Here is a 22,637-nt window from a genome sequence, read left to right as displayed (position 1 = left end):
TGGCTGACTAGATACATTCAGTGCTCACCTCTTCCACAGAGGGGAACCAAAATAATGAGTAGACAATCATACTTCACGTAGATCTAACAGAGAACAGTGGAATTCAACATGACAGGAAGCATCAAAAGCAAGGAAGAAAGCAAAGCAGCCTGTCTTGACAGGATTAGCTAGGAGTCTACAGAGGCTGCCTAATTGGAGGAAAAGGAAAGTGAGCAATCCCCAGCAATCCACATGCCCATCAAGGACTCCTACAATCCTAACCATCAAACAGCCCCTTGACTCTTGTGGGTCTCAAGACTAACAGGGCGTTACCTGGAGACCACATGAAAGCACTGCTCAAGAGGGAGCTCACACTAGGCTCCACAAACACCCAAGACCTAAGGAACTGTAGCATGGCACTATTTTGAGAGCCCAGTCCCTAGTGGTCCTGCATCTTGCTCTGGGGCCCAACAGCCCCTGCATCTCCACATCCCTAGAGCCCCACTGACATTCACCATCTGCAAGAGCAACCCACTGAAAGCAAACCCACCCTCCCTAGTAGCAGAGCTACAATGCAGCTGCTACTGCCCCAACCTAAGCATTCTGCTGGTGGCCTGGGAAATCATCCCACCCCTGCCTACAACAGCCAGCACTGCACACAACACCTTGGGAACCCGGGGGCAGGTCTGCCCAGCCTTGCTGCATCTCCACCAGTAACCAAGCACATTGGTCCAGGGACCTGGGGACTGCCCTGCCCAGGACACCACCATTGGCACCTGAGCACTCCTCCTAGAGTATGGGCCCAATCAACCTGCCATTACCATCACAGCTGGCACCCACCCTCATATGCCACCTGCAAGTCTGGGGACTGGCCCACGCAGCCCATTATAGCCACCGCCAACACCACCACTGGCTGCTTGGATCCCAGAGGGTTGTCCCACTACTACTACTGCCATTGCCCATGTTTGCTGCCCAGTGGCTTGAAAACCTACTCACCCACCCAACCCACTGTCACCATTCTCAGCACCTGAGCAAGCCATCTAGAAGCCCAATAATTGGCCTGGCTTGACCTGCTACCACTGATGCCAGTGTATACAGCCCTGGGGCCCAAGGACAGGCATGCTCAGCCTACTGCTAGCATCCTGCAACCTAACGACTGGTCCATTTGGTGTCCCCGTTCACAACAAAACTTTACCACAGCCTCCACGAACAACTGCACCCTAAGCCACCAAGGAAATTACAGATACCACAGATACTGTTTTCGGCCAAAAAAAAGTCTATAGAGATTACACTACTGCACATACCCAGAATCAAAGCCAAAGTGCCTACCCAACCACCATCATAGATATGAAAGCAAATTCAAAAAATCGGAAGAAGTGATCGTTATACCAGATATGCAGATATCAAGGTGCAGAATATGTAAAAAAGCAAGGAAATAGGAGTTGAGGACCATGGCAGATGGGAGGCAGGACTAGATTGCAGCTCCAGACACAGCAGCATGTGGAGGCTTGCATTGTGAATTTTAGCTATAGATCAACTGCAAGAACAGACCAGCAATCCTTAGAGGACCCTCTGAAGAAAGCAGACTGCTGCTGCAGGAGCTGGGAGACACCCCAAATACTGTGAGTGACCCAACTGTGGAAGTGGGAAAGGGAGACCCTCCTCTCCCGAACACACACCCCCACTGGAGAAGCTGAAAGTCTTTGCGGGAGAAGCTCCCGACTTTACCTGGGGCTGAGTCAAGTTAGAGAGCCGAGCCCAGTGAAATACATGGGTAGAGGAAGTAGCAGAAAGACACTGGGAGCTCGTGGGATCCCCAAGGATCCCATCCCTGCCTGGCACCACAGGGATCCATCAGGAGGGTGGCCAGAGGAGCAGGGGTTAAAACTCCACAGGGAGAATTACTTCTCTAGATGAACTTTGTAACAACTTGAACAGGACGAGAAGCTTCCTTGCCAGAACTGGGCGTGGGGGGTGGGGGGTGGGCATGAATTGGGCTTGCAGACTCCACAGGTGGGGGAAGAACTAAAGCCGTTTTCTTTCGCAGCTGGGGAGGTCTTCTTTCATAGCTGGGCCCTATACCTGGAAACAGACTCGGGGGATGTTGCAGGCGTTTGAGGGGGTCGGGGGACACAGTGAGACTGGCCCTTTGGTTTGTGGGGGAGTTGGGTGAGGCCTGTGACTGCTGGCTTTCCCCCACTTCCCTGACAACCTGCATGACTCAGCACAGGCAGCCATAATCCTCCTAGGTACACTACTCCAGTGACCTGGGAATCTCATCCCCGTCCCCCACAGCAGCCACAGCAAGACCCACCCAAGGAGAGCCTGACCTCAGACACACCTAGCCCCGCCCCCACCTGGTGGTCCTTCTCTATCCACCCTGGTATCGGAAGACAAAAGACATATAATCTTGAGAGTTCTAGGGCCCTCACCATGGCTGGTCCCTCTCCACACACTACTACAGCTGATGCTTTCTGGAAAGCACCACCTCCTGGCAGGAGGCCAACCAGCACAAAAATAGAGCATTAAACCATCAAAGCTAAGGAGTCCCACGGAGTCCACTGCATCCTCCACCACCTCCACCAGAACAGGCACTGGTATCCACGGCTGAGAGAGCCACAGACAGTTCACATAAGCACTCTGTGCAGACAACTCCCAGCACCAGCCCGGAGCCAAGTAGACTCACTGGGTGGCTGGACCCAGAAGACAGACAATAATCACTGCAGTTAGGCTCACAGGAAGCAACATCCACAGGAAAAGGGGGAAGCGTAATACATAGGGAACACCCTGTGGGACAAAAAAATCTGAACAACACTCTTCAGCCCTAGACAATCCCTCTGACAGAGCCTACCCAAATAAGAAGGAACCAGAAAACCAACTGTGGTAATATAATAAAACAAGGCTCGTCAACACCCCCCCAAAAATCACACTACTTCACCAGCAATGGATCTAAACCAAAAAGAAATCCCTGATTTACCTGAAAAAGAATTCAGGAGGTTAGTTATTATGCTAATCAGAGAGGGACCAGAGAAAGGCGAAGCCCAATGCAAGGAAATCAGAAAAATGATACAAGAAGTAAAGGGAGAAATATTCAGTGAAATAGATAGCTTAAAGAAAAAACCAAAAATTCAGGAAACTTTGGACACACTTTTAGAAATGTGAAATGCTCTGGTAAGTCTCAGCAACAGAATTGAACAAGGAGAAGAAAGAAATTTAGAGCTCAAAGAAAGTGGACACACTTTTAGAAATATGAAATGCTCTGGAAAGTCTCAGCAATAGAATTGAACAAGTAGAAGAAAGAAATTCAGAGCTCGGATGACCAAACCTAAGAATAATTGGTGTTCCTGAGGGAGAAGACAATTCTAAAAGCTTGCAAAACATATTTAGGGGAATAATTGAGGAAAACTTCCCTGGCCTTGCTAAAGACCTAGACATGCATACACAAGAAGCACAAAGAACACCTGGGAAATTCAACACAAAAAGATCTCTGCCTAGGCACAGTGTCATCAGGTTATCCAAAGTGAAGACGAAGGAAAGAATCTTAAGAGCTGTGAGACAGAAGCACCAGGTAACCTATAAAGGAAAACCTATCAGATTAACAGCAGATTTCTCAGCAGAAACCCTACAAGCTAGAAGAGATTGGGGCCCTATCTTCAGCCTCCTCAAACAAAAAAATTATCAGCCAAATTTTGTATTTGGCAAAACTAAGCATCATATAGTCATTTTCAGACAAATGCTGAGAGAATTCGCCATTACCAAGCCACCACTAAAAGAACTGCTAAAAGGAGCTCTAAATCTTGAAACAAATCCTGGAAACACATCAAAACAGAATCTCTTTAAAACATAAATCACACAGGAGGACCTATAAAACAAAAATACAAGTTAAAAAACAAAAACAAAAAACAAATCCAAAGTACGCAAGCAACAAACAGCATGATGAATGCAACAGTACCTCACATTTCAATATTAACATTGAATGTAAATGGCCTAAAGGCTCCACTTAAAAGATACAGAACTGCAGAATGGATAAGAACTTACCAACCATCTGCCCTCTTAGGAGACTCACCTAAACTTTAAGTTTATGTGAGCGGAAAAACACATTTCATGCAAATGCACACCAAAAGCAAACAGGATAGCTATTCTTATATCAGACAAAACAAACTTTAAAGCAACAGTGGTTAAAAGAGACAAAGAGGGACATTACATAATAGTAAAAGGCCTGGTCCAACAGGAGAACATCACAATCCTAAACATATATGCACCTAACACTGTAGCTCCCAAACTTGTAATTACTAATAGACCTAAGAAATGAGATAGCAACACCATAATAGTGGAGGACTTCAATACTCCACTGACTAGACAGGTCATCAAGACAGAAAGTCAACAAAGAAACAATGGATTTAAACTATACCCTGGAACAAATGGACCTAACAGATATATACAGAACATTTAGTCTAACAACCACAGAATACACATTCTATTCAAAAGCACGTGGAACTTTCTCCAAAATAGACTATATGACAGGCCATAAAACAAGCCTCAATAAATTTAAGAAAACTGAAATTATATCAAGCACTCTCTCAGACCACAGTGGAATAAAAGTGGAAATCAACTCCAAAAGGAACCTTCAAAACCACACAAATACATGGAAATTAAATAAATTGCTCCTGAATGAGCACTGGGCCAAAAATGAAATCAAGATGAAAATTTAAAAATTCTTTGAACTGAACGACAGTAATGACACAACCTATCAAAACCTTTGGGATACAGTTAAGACAGTGCTAAGAGGAAAGTTCATAGCCCTAAAACACCTACATCAAAAAAGTCTGAAAGAGCACAGACAGACAATCTAAGGTCACACCTCAAGGAAATGGAGAAACAAGAACAAACCAAACCTAGCAGAAGAAAGGAAACAACCAACATCAGAGCAGAACTAAATGAAATTGAAACAAACGACAAATGAAACAAAAAGCTGGTTCTTTGAAAAGATAAATAAAATGGATAGATTAGCAAGATTAACCAAGAAAAGAACAGAGAAAATCCAAACACCTCACTAAGAAACAAAACAGGAGATATTACAACTGACACCACTGAAATACAAAAGATCATTCAAGGCTACTATGAACACCTTTACACACATAAACTAGAAAACCTAGAAGAAATGGATAAAGACCCGGAAAAATACAACCCTCCTAGCTTAAATCAGAATTAGATACCCTGAACAGACCAATAGCAAGCAGTGAGATTGAAATGGTAATTTAAAAATTACCAACAAAAAAAGTCCAGGACCAGATGGATTAACAGCAGCATTCTACCAGACATTCAGGTAATTGGTACCAATTCTTTTGACGCTATTCCACAAGATGGAGAAAGAAGGAACCCTCCCTAATTCATTCTATGAAGCCAGCATCACCCTAATACCAAAACCAGGAAAGGACACACCCAAAAAAGAAAACTACAGACCAATATCTTTGATGAACATAGATGCTAAAATCCTTAACAAAATACTAGCTAACTGAATCTAACAACATATCAAAAAGATAATCCACCATGATCAAGTGGGTTTCATACCAGGGATGCAGGGATGGTTTAACATACTCAATAAATGTAATATACCACATAAACAGAATTAAGAACAAAAATCACATGATCATCTCAATAGATGCAGAAAAAGCATTAGACAAAATCCAGCATCCTTTATGATCAAAACCCTCAGCAAAATCAGCATACAAGGGACATACCTTAATGTAATAAAAGCAATCTATGACAAACCCACAGCCAACATAATACTGAATGGGGAAAAGTTGAAAGCATTCCCTCTGAGAACAGGAACAAGACAAGGATGCCCACTCTCATCACTCCTCTTCAACGTAGTACTGGAAGTCCCAGCCAGAACAATCAGACAACAGAAATAAATAAAGGGCATCCAAATCAGTAAAGAGGAAGTCAAACTGTCCCTGTTTGCTGACAATATAACTGTTTACCTTAGGAGTCTGTAAGACTCCTCCAGAAAGCTCCTAGAACTGATAAAATAATTCTGCAAAGTTTCCAGATACAAGATTAATGGACACAAATCAGTAGCTCTTCTATATACCAACAGCGACCAAGCAGAGAAATCAAGAACTCAAGCCCTTTCACAACTGCAAAAAAATATATAAAATACTTAGGAATATACCTAACAAAGGAGTCGAAAGACCTCTATAAGGAAAACTACAAAACGCTGCTGAAAGAAATCACAGATTACACAAACAAATGGAAACACATCCCATGCTCATGGATGGGTAGAATCAACATTGTGAAAATGACCATACTGCCAAAAGCAATCTACAAATTCAACATAATCCCCATCAAAATACCACCATCATTCTTCACAGAGTTAGAAAAAACAATTCTAAACTTCATATGGAACCAAAAAAGAGCCCACATAGCCACAGCAAGACTAAGCAAAAAGAACAAATCTGGAGGCATCATATTACCTGATTTCAAACTATACTATAAGGCCGCAGTCACCAAAACAGCATGGTACTCATATAAAAATAGGCACATAGACCAATGGAACAGAACAGAGAACCCAGAAATAAACCCAAATACTTACAGCCAACTGATCTTCGACAAAGCAAACAAAAACATGAAGTGGGGAAAGGACACCCTTTTCAACAAATGGTGTTGGAATAATTGGCTAGCCACATATAGGAGAATGAAACTGGATCCTCATCTCTCACCTTATACAAAAATCAACTCAAGATGGATTCAGGGCTTAAACCTAAGACCTGAAACTATAAAAATTCTAGAAGATGGAGGGTTGTTGGCAAGATGGCCGAATAGGAAGAGCTCCGGTCTGTAGCTCCCAGCAAGATCGACACAGAAGGCGGGTGATTTCTGCATTTCCAACTTAGGTACCTAGTTCATCTCATTGGGACTGGTTGGACAGTGGGTGCAGCCCACAGAGAGCGAGCCGAAGCAGGGTGAGGCGCCACCTCAACCCAGAAAGTGCAAAGGGTCAGGGAAATCTCTTCCCTACCCAAGGGAATCCATGAGGGATGTGCCATGCTGTGAGGAATGGTGCACTCTGGCCCAGATACTGTGCTTTTCCCACAGTCTTCGCCACCCGCAGACCAGGAGATTCCCTCTGGTGCCTATGCCACCAGGGCCTGGATTTCAAGCACAAAACTGGGCGGCCGTTTGTGCAGACACCGAGCTAACTGTAGGAGTTTTTTTTCCATACCCCAGTGGTGCCTGGAATGCCAGTGAGACAGAACTGTTCACTCTCCTGGAAAGGGGGCGGAAGCCAGGGAGCCTTGCAAGTAGTCAGGCTCGGAGGGTCCTATCCCCAGGGAGCTCAGCAAGCTATGATCCACTGACTTGAAATTCTCCCTGCCAGCACAACAGTCTGAGGTTGACCTGGGACTCTCAAGCTTGGTGGGGTGAGGGGCACCCACCACTGCTGAGGCTTGAGTAGGTGGTTCTACCCTCATAGTGTAAACAAAGCGGCCTGGAAGATCGAACTGGGCAGAGCCCACCGCAGCTCAGCAAGGCTGCTGTGGCCAGATTGCCTCTCTAGATTCCTCCTCTTTGGACAGGGAATCTCTGAAAAAAAGGCAGCAGCCCCAGTCAGGGGCTTATAGATAAAACCCCTACCTCTCTGAGGCAGAGCACCAGGGGGAAGGGGTGGCTGTGGGTGCAGCTTCAGCAGACTTAAACGTCCCTGCCTGATGGCTCTGAAGAGAGCAGTGGATCGCCCAGCACAGCATTCGAGCTCTACTAAGGGTCAGACTGCCTCCTCAAGTGGGTCCCTGACACCCATGTATCCTGACTAGGAGACACTTCCTAGTAGGGGCTGACAGACACTTCATACAGGAGAGCTCTGGCTGGCATGTGACGGGTGCCCCTCTGGGACGAAGCTTCCAGAGGAAGGAACAAGCAGCAATCTTTGCTGTTCTGCAGCCTCTGCTGGTGATACCCAGGCAAACAGGATATGGAATGGACCTCCAGCAAACTCCAGCAGACCTGCAGCAGAGGGGCCTGACTATTAGAAGGAAAACTAACAAACAGAAAGGATTAGCATCAACAACAAAAAGGATGTCCACTCAGAGACCCCATCCAAAGGTCACCAAGATCAAAGACCAAAGGTAGATAAATCCATGAAGATGGGGAGAAACCAGCACAAAAAGACTGAAAATTCCAAAAACCAGAACGCCTCTTCTCCTCCAAAGGATCACAAGTCCTTGCCAGCAAGGGAACAAAACTGGACAGAGAATGAGTTTTACGAATTGACAGAAGAAGGCTTCAGAAGGTAGGTAATAACAAACTCCTCCGAGCTAAAGGAGCCTGTTCTAACCCAATGCAAGGAAGCTAAGAACCTTGAAAAAAGGTTAGACAAATTGCTAACTAGAATAACCGTTTAGAGAAGAACATAAATGACCTGACGGAGCTGAAAAACACAGCACAAGAACCTTGTGAAGCATACACAAGTATCAATAGCCAAACTGATTAAGCGTAAGAAAGGGTATCAGTGATTGAAGATCAACTTAATGAAATACAGCAAAAAGACAAGATTAGAAAAAAAAGAATGAAAAAGAACAAACACAGCCTCCAAGAAATGTGGGAGTATGTGAAAAGACCAAATCTACGTTTGATTAGTGTACCTGAAAGTGACAGGGAGAATGGAACCAAGTTGGAAAACACTCTTCAGGATATTATCCAGGAGAACTTCCCCAACCTAGCAAGACAGGCCAACATTCAAATTCAGGAAATGCAAAGATACTCCTGGAGAAGAGCAACCCAAAGACACATAATCATCAGATTCACCAAGACTGAAATGGAGGAAAAAATGTTAAGGGCAGCCAGAGAGAAAGGTCGGGTTACCCACAAAGGGAAGCCCATCAGACTAACAGCGGATCTCTCTGCAGAAACTCTACGAGCCAGGAGAGAGTTGGGGCCAATATTCAACATTCTTAAAAAAAAAAAAGAATTTTCAACCCGGAATTTCATATCCAGCCAAACTCAGTTTCATAAGCAAAGGAGAAATAAAATCCTTTATAGACAAGGAAATTCTGAGAGATTTTGTCACCACCAGGCCTGCCTTACAAGAGGTCCTGAAGGAAGCACTAAACATGGAAAGGAACAACTGGTACCACCCACTGCAAAAACATACCAAATTGTAAAGACCATCGACACTATGAAGAAACTGCATCAACTAATGAGCAAAATAACCAGCTAGCATCATAATGACAGGATCAAATTCACACATAACAATATAAACCTTAAATGTAAATGGGCTAAATGTCCCAATTAAAAGACACAGACTGGCAAACTGGATAAAGAATCAAGACCCAACAGTGTGCTGTATTCAGGAGACCCATCTCACACGCAGAGACACACATAGGCTCAAAATAAAGGGATGAAGGAGTATTTACCAATCAAACGGAGAGAAAGAAAAGCAATCCTAGTCTCTGATAAAACAGACTTTAAACCAACAAAGATCAAAAGAGACAAAGAAGGCCATTACATAATGGTAAAGGGATCAATGCAACAAGAAGAGCTAACTATCCTAAATATATATGTACCCAAAACAGAAGCACCCAGATTCATAAAGCAAGTCCTTAGAGACCTACAAAGAGACTTAGACTCCCACACAATGATAATGGGAGACTTTAACATCCCACTGTCAATATCAGACAGATCAATGAGACAGAAAATTAACAAGGATATTCAGGACTTGAACTCAGCTCTGGACCAAGCAGACCTAATAGACATCTACAGAACTCTCCACCCCAAATCAACAGAATCTACATTCTTCTGAGGACTTAATCACACTTATTCTAAAATTAACCACACAATTGGAAGTAAAACACTCCTCAGCAAATGCAAAAAAAACTAGATATAAAAACACAGTCTCTCAGACCACAGTGCAATCAAATTAGAACTCAGGATTAAGAAACTCACTCAAAACCGCTCAACTACGTGGAAAATGACCAACCTGCTCCTGAATGACTACTGGGTAAATAACGAAATTAAGACAGAAATAAAGATGTTATTTGAAACCAATGAGAACAAAGAGACAACGTACCAAAATCTATGGGACACATTTAAAGCAGTGTTTACAGGGAAATTTATAGCACTAAATGCCCACAGGAGAAAGCAGGAAAGATCTAAAATTGACACCCTAACATCACAACTAAAAGAACTAGAGAAACAAGAGCAAACAAATTCAAAAGCTACCAGAAGACAAGAAATAACTAAGATTAGAGCAGAACTGTAGGAGATACAGACACGAAACCCTTCAAAAAAAATCAATGAATCCAGGAGCTGGCTTTTTGAAAAGATCAACAAAATAGACAGACCACTAGCCAGACTAATAAGAAGAAAAGAGAGAAGAATCAAACAGACGCAATAAAAAATGATAAAGGGGGCCGGGTGCCGTGCCTCACACCTGTAATCCCAGTACTTTGGGAGGCCGAGGTGGGTGGATCACGAGGTTGGGAGATTGAGACCATCCTGGCTAACACGGTGAAACCCCGTCTCTACTAAAAAATACAAAAAATTAGCTGGGTGTGATGGTGGGCGCCTGTAGTCCCAGCTACTCAGGAGGCTGAGGCAGGAGAATGGCGTGAACCTGGGAGGCAGAGCTTGCAGTGAGCCGAGATCATGCCACTGCACTCCAGCCTGGGTGACAGAGCAACACTCTGTCTCAAAAAAAAAAAAAAAAAATGATAAAGGGGATATCACCGCTGTTCCCACAGAAATACAAACTACCATCAAAGAATACTATAAACACCTCTACACAAATAAACTAGAAAATCTAGAAGAAATGGATAAATTCCTGGACACATACACCCTCCCAAGTCTAAACCAAGAAGAAGACGAATCCCTGAAGATACCAATAACCAGGTCTGAAATTGAGGCAATAATTAATAGCCTACCAACCAAAAGAAGTCCAGGACCAGACGGATTCACAGCAGAATTCTACCAGAGGTACAAAGAGGAGCTGGTACCATTCCTTCTGAAACTATTCCAATCAATAGAAATAGAGGGAATCCTCCCTAATTAATTTTATGAGACCAACATCATCCTGATACCAAAACCTGGCAGAGACACAACAACAACAAAAAAAGAGAATTTCAGGCCAATATCCCTGATGAACATTGATGCAAAAATCCTCAACAAAATACTGTCAAATCAAATCCAGCAGCACATCAAAAAGCTTATCCAGCACGATCAAGTTGGCTTCATATCTGGGATGCAAGGCTGGTTCATCATATGGAAATCAGTAAACGTAATCTATTCACATAAACAGAACCAATGACAAAAACCACATGATTATCTCAATAGTTGCACAAAAAGCCTTCAACAAAATTCAACATCCCTTCATGCTAAAAACTCTCAATAAACTAGGTATTGATGGAACGTATCTAAAAATAATAAGAGCTACTTATGACAAACCCACAGCCAATATCATACTGAATGGGCAAAAACTGGAAGCATTCCCTTGAAAAACGGCAAAAGGCAAGGATGCCCTCTCTCTCCACTCCTATTCAACATAGTATTGGAAGTTCTGGCCAAGGCAATCAGGCATGAGAAAGAAATAAAGGGTATTCAAATAGGAAAAGAGGAAGTTAAGTTGTCTCTGTTTGCAGATGACATGATTGTATATTTAGAAAACCCCATTGTCTCAGCCCCAAATCTCCTTAAGCTGATAAGCAACTTCAGCAAAGTCTCAGGATACAAAATCAATGTGCAAAAATCACAAGCATTCTTATACACCAATAACAGACAAACAGCCAAATCATGAGTGAACTCCCATTCACAACTGCTACTAAGAGAATAAAATACCTAGGAATACAACTTACAAGGGACGTGAAGGACCTCTTTAAGGAGAACTACAAACCACTGCTCAAGGAAATAAAAGAGGACACAAACAAATGGAAAAACACTCCATACTCATGGATAGGAAGAATTAATATTGTGAAAATGACCATATTGCCCAAAGTAATGTACAGATTCAATGCTATCCCCATCAAGCTACCACTCACTTTCTTCACAGAATTGGAAAAAACTACTTTAAATTTCCTATGGAATCAAAAAACAGCCCAAACAGCCAACACAATCCTAACCAAAAAGAACAAAGCTGGAGGCATCATGCTGTCTCACTTCAAACTATACTACAAGGTTACAATAACCAAAGCAGCATGGTACTGGTACCAAAACAGATATATAGATGAATAGAACAGAAGAGAGGCCTCAGAAATAACACCACACACCCACAACCATCTGATCTTTGACAAACCTGACACAAACAAGCAATGGGGAAAGGATTCCTTACTTCATAAATGGTGTTGGGAAAACTGGCTAGCCATATGCAGAAAACTGAAACTGGACTCCTTCCTTACACCTTATACAAAAATTAACTCAAGATGGAATAAAGACTTAAACGTAAGACCTAAAACCATAAAAACCCTAGAAGTAAACCTAGGCAGTATCATTCAGGACACAGGCATGGACAAAATGACTAAAACACCAAAAGCAATGGCAACAAAAGCTGAAATTGACAAATGGGATCTAATTAAACTAAAGAACTTCTGCACAGCAAAAGAAACTATCATCAGAGTGAACAGGCAACCCACAGAATGGCAGACAATTTCTGCAATCTACCCATCTGACAAAGGGCTAATATTCAAAATCTACAAAGAACCTAAACAAATTTACAAGAAAAAAACAACCCCATCAAAAAGTAGGCAAAGGACTATGAGCAGACACTTCTCAAAAGAAGACATTTATGCAGCCAACAAACATATGGAGAAAAGCTCATCATCACTGGTCATTAGAGAAATGCAAATCAAAACCACAATGAGATACCATCTCATGCCAGTTAGAATGGCGATCATTAAAAAGTCAGGAAACAACAGATGCTGGAGAGGATGTGGTGAAATAGGAACGCTTTTACACTGTTGGTGGGAGCGTAAATTAGTTCAACCATTGTGGAAGACAGTGTGGCAATTCCTCAAGGATCCAGAACCAGAACTACCATTCGACCCAGCAATCCCATTACTAGGTATATACCGAAGGGATTATAAATCATTCTACTATAAAGATACATGCAGCCGGGCGCGGTGGCTCATGCCTGTAATCCCAGCACTTTTGGAGGCCAAGGTAGCCCGATCATGGGGTCAGGAGATTGAGACCATCCTGGCCAACATGGTGAAATGCTCTCTGTACTAAAAATACAAAAATTAGCCAGGCACGGTGGCGGGCACCTATAATCCCAGCTACTTGGGAGGGTGGGGCAGGAGAATCACTTGAACCCGGGAGGCAGAGGTCGCAGTGAGCTGAGATTGCACCACTGCACTCCAGCCTGGCGACAGAGCAAGACTCTGTCTCAAAAAAAAAAAAAAAAAAGATAAGTGCACATGTATGTTTATTGCAGCACTACAGCAAAGACTTGGAACCAACCCAAATGCCCATCAATGATAGACTCGATAAAGAAAATGTGGCACATATACACCATGGAATACTATGCAGCCATAAAAAAGGATGAGTGCATGTCCTTTGCAGGGACATGGATGAAGCTGGAAACCATAATTCTCAGCAAACTAACACAAGAACAGAAAACCAAACACTGCACGTTCTCACTCATAAGTGGGAGTTGAACCATGAGAACACATGGACACAGAACATCTCATCCAACAGTTAAGAGAATACACATTCTTTTCATTAGCATAAGGATTATTCTCCAGGACAGATCATATGTTAGGACACAAAACAAATCTTAACAAACTTTAAAAAACTGACTTCATATCAAGTATCTTCTCAAACCACAATGGAACAAAACCAGTAATCAATAATGAGAGGAACACTGGCAACTGTACCAATAAATAGAAATTAAACCACATGCTTCTGAACAAGCATCCAGTCAAGGAAAAAATTTAAAAAAATTCTTGAAAAAAATGAAAATTTAAACCCAACATACCAAAACCTATGGGATACAGCAAAAGCAGTGCTAAGAGGGAAATTTTAGCAATAAGTGCCTATATCAAAAAAGTGGAAACATTTCAAAAAGCAATCTAATGATGTACCTAAAAGGAACTAGAAAAGAACAAACCCCAAATTAGTGGAAAGAAATAACAAACACTAGAGCAGAATTAAACAAAATAGAGACACACAATACAAAGGATCAAAGAAACAAAGATTTTTTAAAAGATAAACAAAACCAATAAGCTACTTGATAGACTAACCAAGAACCGAAGAGAGAAGACCCAAATAAAATCAGGAATAAAAAAGGAGAAATTACAACTGATACCACAGAAATACAAGAGATCATCAGAGGCTATTATGAACAACTACACACAGACAAACTAGAAAATCTAGAAGAAATGGATAAATTCCTGGAGACACACAAGCTATCAAGATTGAATCAGGAAGAAATAGAAAACCTGAACAGACCAGTAATGAGTAATAAGACTGAATTGGTAATAAAAAAGTCTCCCAACAAAGGAAAGTCCAGGACCAGACAACTTCACTAATGAATTCTACCAAACTATCAAAGAACTAACCAATTCTTCCCAAACTATTCCAAAAAAATCAAAGAGGAGGGAATTTTCCCTAACTCATTCTGTGAGGCCAGCATTACCCTGATACCAAAGCCAGAGAAGGACACAACAAAAAAGAACAAAGAAAATTACAGGCCACTATTTTTGATGAACATAGATGCAAAAATTCTCAACAAAATACTAGCAAACTCAATCCAACAGCACATGAGAAAACTAATACCCAATAATTAAGTGGGATTTATCCCAGGGATGCAGGCAGAATTCAACATACACAAATCAATAAATGTGATACATCACATCAACAGAATGAAAGACAAAAACCATATGATCATCTCAGTAGACAAGAAAAAACATTTCACAAAATTCAACATCACTAAATAATAAAAACTCTCAACAAACTAGGCACAGAAGGTATATACCTTAAAATAATAAAGACTATATATGACAAACCCACAGCTAACATCATACTTAATGGGGAAAAGCTGAAAGCCTTTCCCCTAAGAGCTAAAACAAAACAAGGATGCCCACTTTCACCATTCTTATTCAACATAGCAACAGAAGTCCTAGCCAGAGCAACCAGGCAAGATAAATAAAAGGCACCTAAATTAGAAAATAAATAAAATAAATAAAATAGAAAATAAATAAAATAAAATAAAAAGTCCCCTATGCAAAAATTACCCAGGCATGGTGGCACACACCTGTAATTCCAGCTACTTGGGTGGCTGAGGCATGGGAATTGCTTGAACCCAGAAGGTGGAGGTTGTAGTGATCCAACATTGTGCCACTGAAGTCCAGCCTAGGTGACAGAGCTGTCTCAAAACAAACAAACAAACAAACAAACAAACAAAACAAAACAAAACAAACTAAAATCAAAACGTCCCCTTTGCTGATGTTATCATCTTATATCTTAAAAACCCTAGACTCCACTGGCACAGTGGCTCATGCCTGAAATCCCAGCACTTTGGGAGGCCAAGGCGGGTGGATCACCTGAGGTCAGGAGTTCGAGACCAGCCTGGCCAACACTGCGAAACCCCATCTCTACTAAAAAAATACAAAAATTACAAGGTGCGGTGGCACATGCCTGTAGTCCCAGCTACTTGGAAGGCTGAGGCAGGAGAATCGCTTGAACCTGTGAGGCAGAGGTTGCAGTGGGATGAGATCGCGCCACTGCACTCCAGCCTAGGCAACAGAGCGAGGCTCTGTCTCAAAAAAAAAAAAAAACCCCAAAACAAAACCTAGACTCCACAAAAACCTCACATCTGATCAATAAATTCAGTAAAGTTGCAGAATACAAAATCAACATACAAAAATCAGTAGCATTTCTATACACTAGCTGAGAAATAAAGAAGGCAATCCCACCTACAATAGCTACAAAACAATAAAATATCTAGGAATAAATTTAACCAAGGGGGTTACACATTTCTACATAAAAAACTACAAAACAGATGAAATAAACGAAAGAGGATACAAACAAATGGCAAGACATCCCATGTTCATGGATCAGAAGAATTATGCCTAAGGCAATCTACAAATTCAATGCTATCTCTATCAAAATACCACCTTCATTTTTCACAGAAGTAGAAAAAATTCAAAACTTTCTATGAAACCAAAAAAGAGCCGTAATAACCAAATCAAGGTGGATCAAAAGAACAAAGCTGAAGGCATCACACTACCTGACTTCAAAATACATTACAAGACTATAGGAACCACAACAGCATGGTATTGGTATAAAAACAGACATATAGATCAATGGAACAGAATAGGGAATCCAGAAATAAATCCATGTATTTACAGCCAACTGATTTTCAACAAAAGTGTCAAGAACATAGTTGGGGAAAGCACACACTCTTCAATAAATAATGCTTGGAAAATTGGATATCTATATGCAGAGGAATGAAATTGGAGCCCCATCTCTCACCATATTCAAAAAACAATTCAAGGGCTGGTGTGGTAGCTCATGCCTGTAATCCTAGCACTTTGGGAGGGCAAGGCAGGTGGATCATTTAAGGTCAGGAGTTCAAGACCAGCCTGGCCAACATGGTGAAACCCCATCTGTACTAAAAAAAAAAAAAAAAAATTAGCCAGGTGTGGTGGCATGCACCCGTAATCCCAGCTACTCAGGAGGCTGAGCAGGGAGAATTGCTTGAACCTGGGAGGTGGAGGCGGCAGTGAGCTGATCACGTCACTGCATTCCAGGGTGACAGTCTGAGACTCCACTTCAAAAAAAAAAAAAAAAAAAATTCAAGATGGATTAAATAGTTAAATGTATGACCCAAAAATGTAAACCTACTAGAAGAAAACATACGGAAAACACTTCAAGACACTGGTATAGAGTTTGTGGTCGAGACCTCAAAAACACAGGGACCAAAAACATACGAATAGGGCTACATTGAACTAAAAATCTTCTGCACGGGAAAGGAAACAATAACCAGAGTGAAAGAGACAGTCTGTCCCCCAGTTTGAATATTCAGTAGTTTGAATATTCAATAGCTTGCATATTCAGTAGTTTGAATATCTGCAAACTATTCATCCAACAAAGGGCTACTATCCAGAATGCCTAAGAAACTCAAACTAAACACACACACACACCAAAAATCCAAATAATTCCATTAAAAAGTGGGCAAAGAACATTAATAAACATTTTTCTAAAGAAGACATATAAATGGCAAACAGGTACATGAAAAAATGCTCAACATTACTAATCACAGAAATGCAAATCAAACCCATAATGAGATATCATATCGCCTCAGTTAGAATGGCTATTACTAAAAAGACAAAAATGCTGGGCCCGGTGGCTCATGCCTGTAATCCCAGCACTCTGGGAGGCTGAGGTTGGAGGACTGTTTGAGGCAAGGAGCTCGAAACCAGTCTGGTCAACATAGTGAGACTGTGTCTCTATAAAAGAAAAAAATTAACATTAGCCTGACATGGTGGCGCATGCTTGTAATATCAGCTACTGGGGAGGCTCGGGCAGCAGGATTGCTTGAGCCCAGGGGTATGAGGCTACAGTGAGCCATGATTATGCCACTGCATACCAGACTGCGCAGCAGAGCAAGACCCTGTCTCAAAAACAAGCAAACAAACAAACATACCAAAAGACAAAAACTAACAGATACTGCCAAGGAAGCGGAGAAAAGGGAATCCTTATACATTGTTAGTGGGAATGTAAATAAATACAGTCACTATGGAAAACAGTATGGAGACGTCTCAAAAAACTAAAAATGGAACTACCATATGATCCAGCATTCCCAGTACTGGATATTTATCGAAAGAACATGAAATCTGTATATCAAAAGGAAACCTGCACTCTTGTGCTAACTGTAGCACTATTTACAATCTGAGTGTCCATTGATGAACAAATAGATAAACAAAATGTGGTATATACACAATGGGATACTATTTGGCCATAAAGAAAGAATAGAATCTTGTCATTTACAGCAACACAGATGGGACTGGACGTCATTATGTTAAGTGAAATAAGCCAGGTATATAAAGATAAACATCACATGTTCCCACTCATATGTGGGAGCTAAAAAAGTAGGTCTCAACGAGCTAAAGAATGGAATGATAGGTATCAAAGGCTGGGAAGGGTGTGTGTGAGGGTGGTAGTGATCAAGAGAGGTAGGTTAATGGGTACAAACATATGGTTAGATGAAAGGAATAAGTTCTAATGTTTGATAGCAATAGTAAGGTGACTATGGTCAGCAACAATGTATTATATATTTCAAATTGGCTAGTAAACTTGAAATGTTCCCAACACAGAAATGATAAATACTCAAGGTGATAGATACCAGAATACTCTGGCTGAATCATTACGCATTCTACATATATAACAAAATATCATATGTATCCTATAAATATATAAAACATTATATATCAATTTTTAAAATCCATGAAGCATTAGTTTGGTGACTGTAGAAATAAGTTTTTATCAGCATACTGAAAGTATTATTTATATAAGTGAAGTGGAAATGTCAAATTTCCAATGCATTTCTCCCATCTCCCATTTGTACTGTCAAGTTCTACATGCCTTTTCTTCAACCCTAGGAGGGCTACTGGAGGAAATGGTATTAAAAAAAACTGAAGAAATAATCTCAGTGCTTAGCATAGTGCCTGTTAAGTAGCAGATGCTCTGCAAATGTCTGCTCACTGACTAAGCATAACATTAATGATGCCAAATTCATATATCAAAGGATTTGAAGAATTATGCAGATATTAAAGTCCCTTTAGCATTAGGCTAAAATCAGGACAGGAAGTTTTAATTTTAATTTTAGCCTCCTTTCTTATATTATGCATTAGATTTCTTTTTTTTTTTTGAGATGGAGTCTCACTCTGTCGCCCAGGCTGGAGTGCAGTAGCACAATCTCAGCTCACTGCAAGCTCTGCCTCCCAGGTTCATGCCATTCTCCCACCTCAGCCTCCCGAGTAGCTGGGGACTACAGGCGCCTGCCACCACGCCCAGCTAATTTTTTGTATTTTTAGTAGAGACGGGGTTTCACCATTCACAGGATGGTCTTGATCTCCTGACCTCGTGATCTGCCCACTCAGCCTCCCAAAGTGCTGGGATTACAGGCGTGAGCCACCGTGCCCGGCCATTATGCATTAGATTTCTTAGTCATAATTCTAGTTCAATCCCTATTCAAAGAATGAATTCTCATCTTAAACAGAACTCAGGAGAAATAAATTGATGAAAAAAAAAAAAACCAGTACTAACCTAAGACAACACAAATTCACATATACAACTTAATATATTAAAGACCTTCTGTACTGGAAGGCAGGTGGCTGTAGCATTTGATAAGCTAATTCTAATATTACAATGCCAGTTGTGGTAGGGATTGGATTCGTGACACAACTGGACAGGACCTATGCTGTAAAGTTTACATCAGAATTTAAATTTCCATTTACTTAGGTATATGTTCACCATGACTGTTACTTATTAAGGTAAAGAACAATGTTTAACAATGCAATACCTGATGCTCTAATTGTTTTTGTCGTCGTCTGTCTCGTTCCTCAATCTGAGCTGGGTCCAAGAGAGCAGTCATAGAACGGAGAAAGCTGGCAAGATACATACATTAGCTATTCAAAACCTCAAAAAGGTAGATTCAACAAGCTAAATCATTTTTGTTTGGGATAAATCTACTAATTATTTCTATTTCAAAGACAAATACCAAACCTGAAACCAATTAGACATAACAACAGTCTTACTAAAGCACACAGACTTTCTGAAAAGTCAATAAATACATAAGCATGAACTTACTTTGTTTTCTTACTGTTTGCCATAACCACATCCTTAATAGGTTTTGCTATATGCTCCTCCTCTGAAGGTTCAACCTGGCTTCCGGTTGTAGGTGTACAAACACTGCTGACATCAGCCAGCTCCTGAGTGTCAGGAGAGACACAGAAGTACTCAGGTTGTTTGTGTGTTGACTGAGAGAACAGCTGAGATTGAGAACCAGGATAACTCTTTAATGAATCAAAGTGCATTGCCCATCTGTCATGTTCCTCACCCTAATGATGACAAATAAGAATTGCTAAGAATTTTTCCAATTATTCTCATATATAATTCTAAATGACAACCAAAGATGATTTCTAAAAGTCACCTTAGAGCAGAATAAGCATCATAAAAATTAACAAGACTGTACTGTTTAGAGTCCTTATACATATAGATCACTAGCTTTGAAAATTTGAGAAATTCAAAGAATTAGGAAATTTCTAAAAAGTTGTAAGAAGCTATGCAACATCACATAATGCATTCAATGAAACAGGTTCACATGGGCAAATGTGGAATAAATGGAATATTCTGGTCTTGTCAAGAGTTTCAGAATACTTCTAGTTTTAATTGATTAAAGACTTTGATTTTATTTTTTCTTTTATAGCCACAAAACCTCATAAGTTACCTTTGAATATATAATTTTTTCCTCTATTTTTCTTTGACGGTCATCTTCTATTTGCTTATTCAACTCTTCAATCCATTTTCTTTGCAGTTCTTGTTTCACAGCACTGAAAGGGTGCTCCAGCAGTACTGTTTCCTAAACAACAGCCATAAAAGCCATCTAAAGTTCAGTTCTCTTTTTCTAATCACTTAATATGTGCAAATCTTGCCAAAGTAACATACAGATTTAATCCACTGAGGCATTTATCTGTAAGAGGAGCAATAACTTCAAACGAATTTGAATTCAAAGAATTAAGTAGATATATTCTGATTCTCAGAATCATATTTTAAATATACTAGATCAGAGATATATAATAAGATATCTAAGTGTAAGGGAAGGGAATTTTCTAATGAAAAACAGAAAATTCTTTCTCCAAAACAATTAAAAGACTTTCAAAATTCAGCTGGATGCAGCAGCTCATGACTATAATCCCAGCATGTTGGGAGGCTGACATGGGCAGATCACTTGAGCCCAGGAGTTCAAGGCCAGCCCCTGGCCAACATGGCAAAATCTCATCTCTACTGAAAAAAAAAAAAAAAATTAGCCAGCTGTGGTGGTGCATGTCTGTAATCCCAGCTACTTGAGAGGCTGAGACACAAATCACTTGAACCCGGGAGGTGGAGGTTGTAGTGAGCTGAAATCATGCCACTGCACTCCAGCATGGGCAACAGAGTGAGACCCTGTCTCAAAAATATTGTTTTTCAAAATTCTAAGTCTCTTTTAGAGGCTGAAAGAGTTATTAATTTAAAACAGATGAATATTGTTTTACATTTGGCTTTGGAATACAACATTTGGAATATTGTCTTTGGACCAAGAACAAGGAGAATATAGAAAGATGTGTGAGAGCAAGAGACTTTCCCTATTGAATCATGTCTCTCTCTAGGAGAACCTCTGTCTTCTAGGTTTCTGCTACTACAGCTCTATCACAGCCTATGATGTTTCAATAACAAAAATATACTGTGTCCAGAACGAGTCTTTGAATCTTAAGGAAAAAGTAAAAAATGAAAACAGTAGCATAAAAGTTTGCTGCCACTTTAATTGATGAGTTTAGGATACTCTTTTAAAAAAGGAAAAAAATATATTCTACTCAAATTCTTCTGAAATGCAACAGGCAAACAACAAAACATTTCATTACATGAAATAACTACAAGACATAATTAAGAAAAACTGTTTGACAGAATCCTACAATGACGATATACCTCACAATGTTACTTTCTTCCCTTGTTTTTACCAGAAAAGATCACAAAGCTCATAGTTTACAACTCACTGTTTTGATCAGAAGAAATATTTATACAAAAAGTAAAGATCCTTCTATCTCAGGTCCTCCTACATTCTAACCAGATTAAAAACCATCCAACTTATTTAAGTCTAAAACAATCACTTCAAAAGGAACATTATCTTTAGGTAAAAGATTTAACAATTTTTATACCTCAAGAAATGTTTTAGAGGTCAAAATGGGAAAAGAAAAACGAGCATTGTCCAACCTGTGGCCCAAGACAGCTTTGAATGTGGCCCAACACAAATTTGTAAACTTCCTTAAAACATTATGAAAGTGTTTTGCAATTTTTTTTAAGTTTATCAGCTATCACAGTGTTAGTTTATTTCATCTGTTGCCCAAGACCGTTTTTCTTCTTGCAGTGTGACCCAGGGAAGCTAAAAGAGTGGATGCTGTATATTTGTTTAAGTTTGATGTAACCAGATCTGATTCCATATTTTAGTGTAGTGGCATTGCAAATTATTCAGGGATTAGACAAAAGTTAAAATTACCCTTAAAAATTCCTTAAACACTCAAAATGTTTTATCTATATTCATAACCCTAAGATAACTGAACAATTAGATCTCTCAGTTGAGTCTTTAATTTCTTACTCAAGGATGTCTTACAAAGCTACTACCACTTAACTGCATTTCATTTCTGTCGTTGACTGGGAAAGGCTTTACATTATTCTTACATTCTTTTTCACAAGTCTCTCCCAATGTGCATTCAGTTAGAAGAATGAAAAACATGGGGGTGGGAGATGGGGAGAGGTAGTAGGTAGAACTGCATTCCTTTTGGTTTACTGCATGCATTTAGTTGAAGGTGAGTAAGGCATATTTGTGTATAACACAAGACACACTGTAACAATTGTTTTGACCTTCTTCTAGCATTCCCTCTCACTAAATCCTCCATACAGTTAAAGAA

At 40.5% G+C, this 22,637-nt stretch overlaps 1 protein-coding gene across 40 annotated transcripts in view; it reads right to left on the bottom strand.

Annotated features, from left to right (window-relative positions):
• Positions 1-22,637, bottom strand: part of CCDC66 (coiled-coil domain containing 66) — a 64,682-nt gene that overhangs the window by 8,314 nt on the left and 33,731 nt on the right. For 26 of the 40 annotated variants that reach the window (NR_148371.1, NR_148368.1, NR_148378.1 and 23 more), the window contains 3 exons: positions 20,423-20,554; positions 19,783-20,033; positions 19,496-19,580 (listed from right to left, as the gene is read on the bottom strand). Coding sequence is in view for 26 of the 40 variants with exons in the window: in XM_047448017.1 (XP_047303973.1) it covers positions 19,496-19,580; positions 19,783-20,033; positions 20,423-20,554 (468 nt within the window). In the remaining 14 variants the exon portion in view is untranslated. Of the gene's footprint in view, positions 1-15,223; positions 15,335-19,495; positions 19,581-19,782; positions 20,034-20,422; positions 20,666-22,637 lie in introns of all 40 variants that reach the window. The other 14 variants (NR_148372.1, NR_148367.1, NR_148366.1 and 11 more) reach the window with 4 other exon arrangements.

The sequence above is a fragment of the Homo sapiens genome, chromosome 3 (genome assembly GCF_000001405.40).
Source record: "Homo sapiens chromosome 3, GRCh38.p14 Primary Assembly".
Classification (NCBI taxonomy): Eukaryota; Metazoa; Chordata; class Mammalia; order Primates; family Hominidae; genus Homo; species Homo sapiens.
This window is presented reverse-complemented; position numbering and strand designations above follow the sequence as displayed.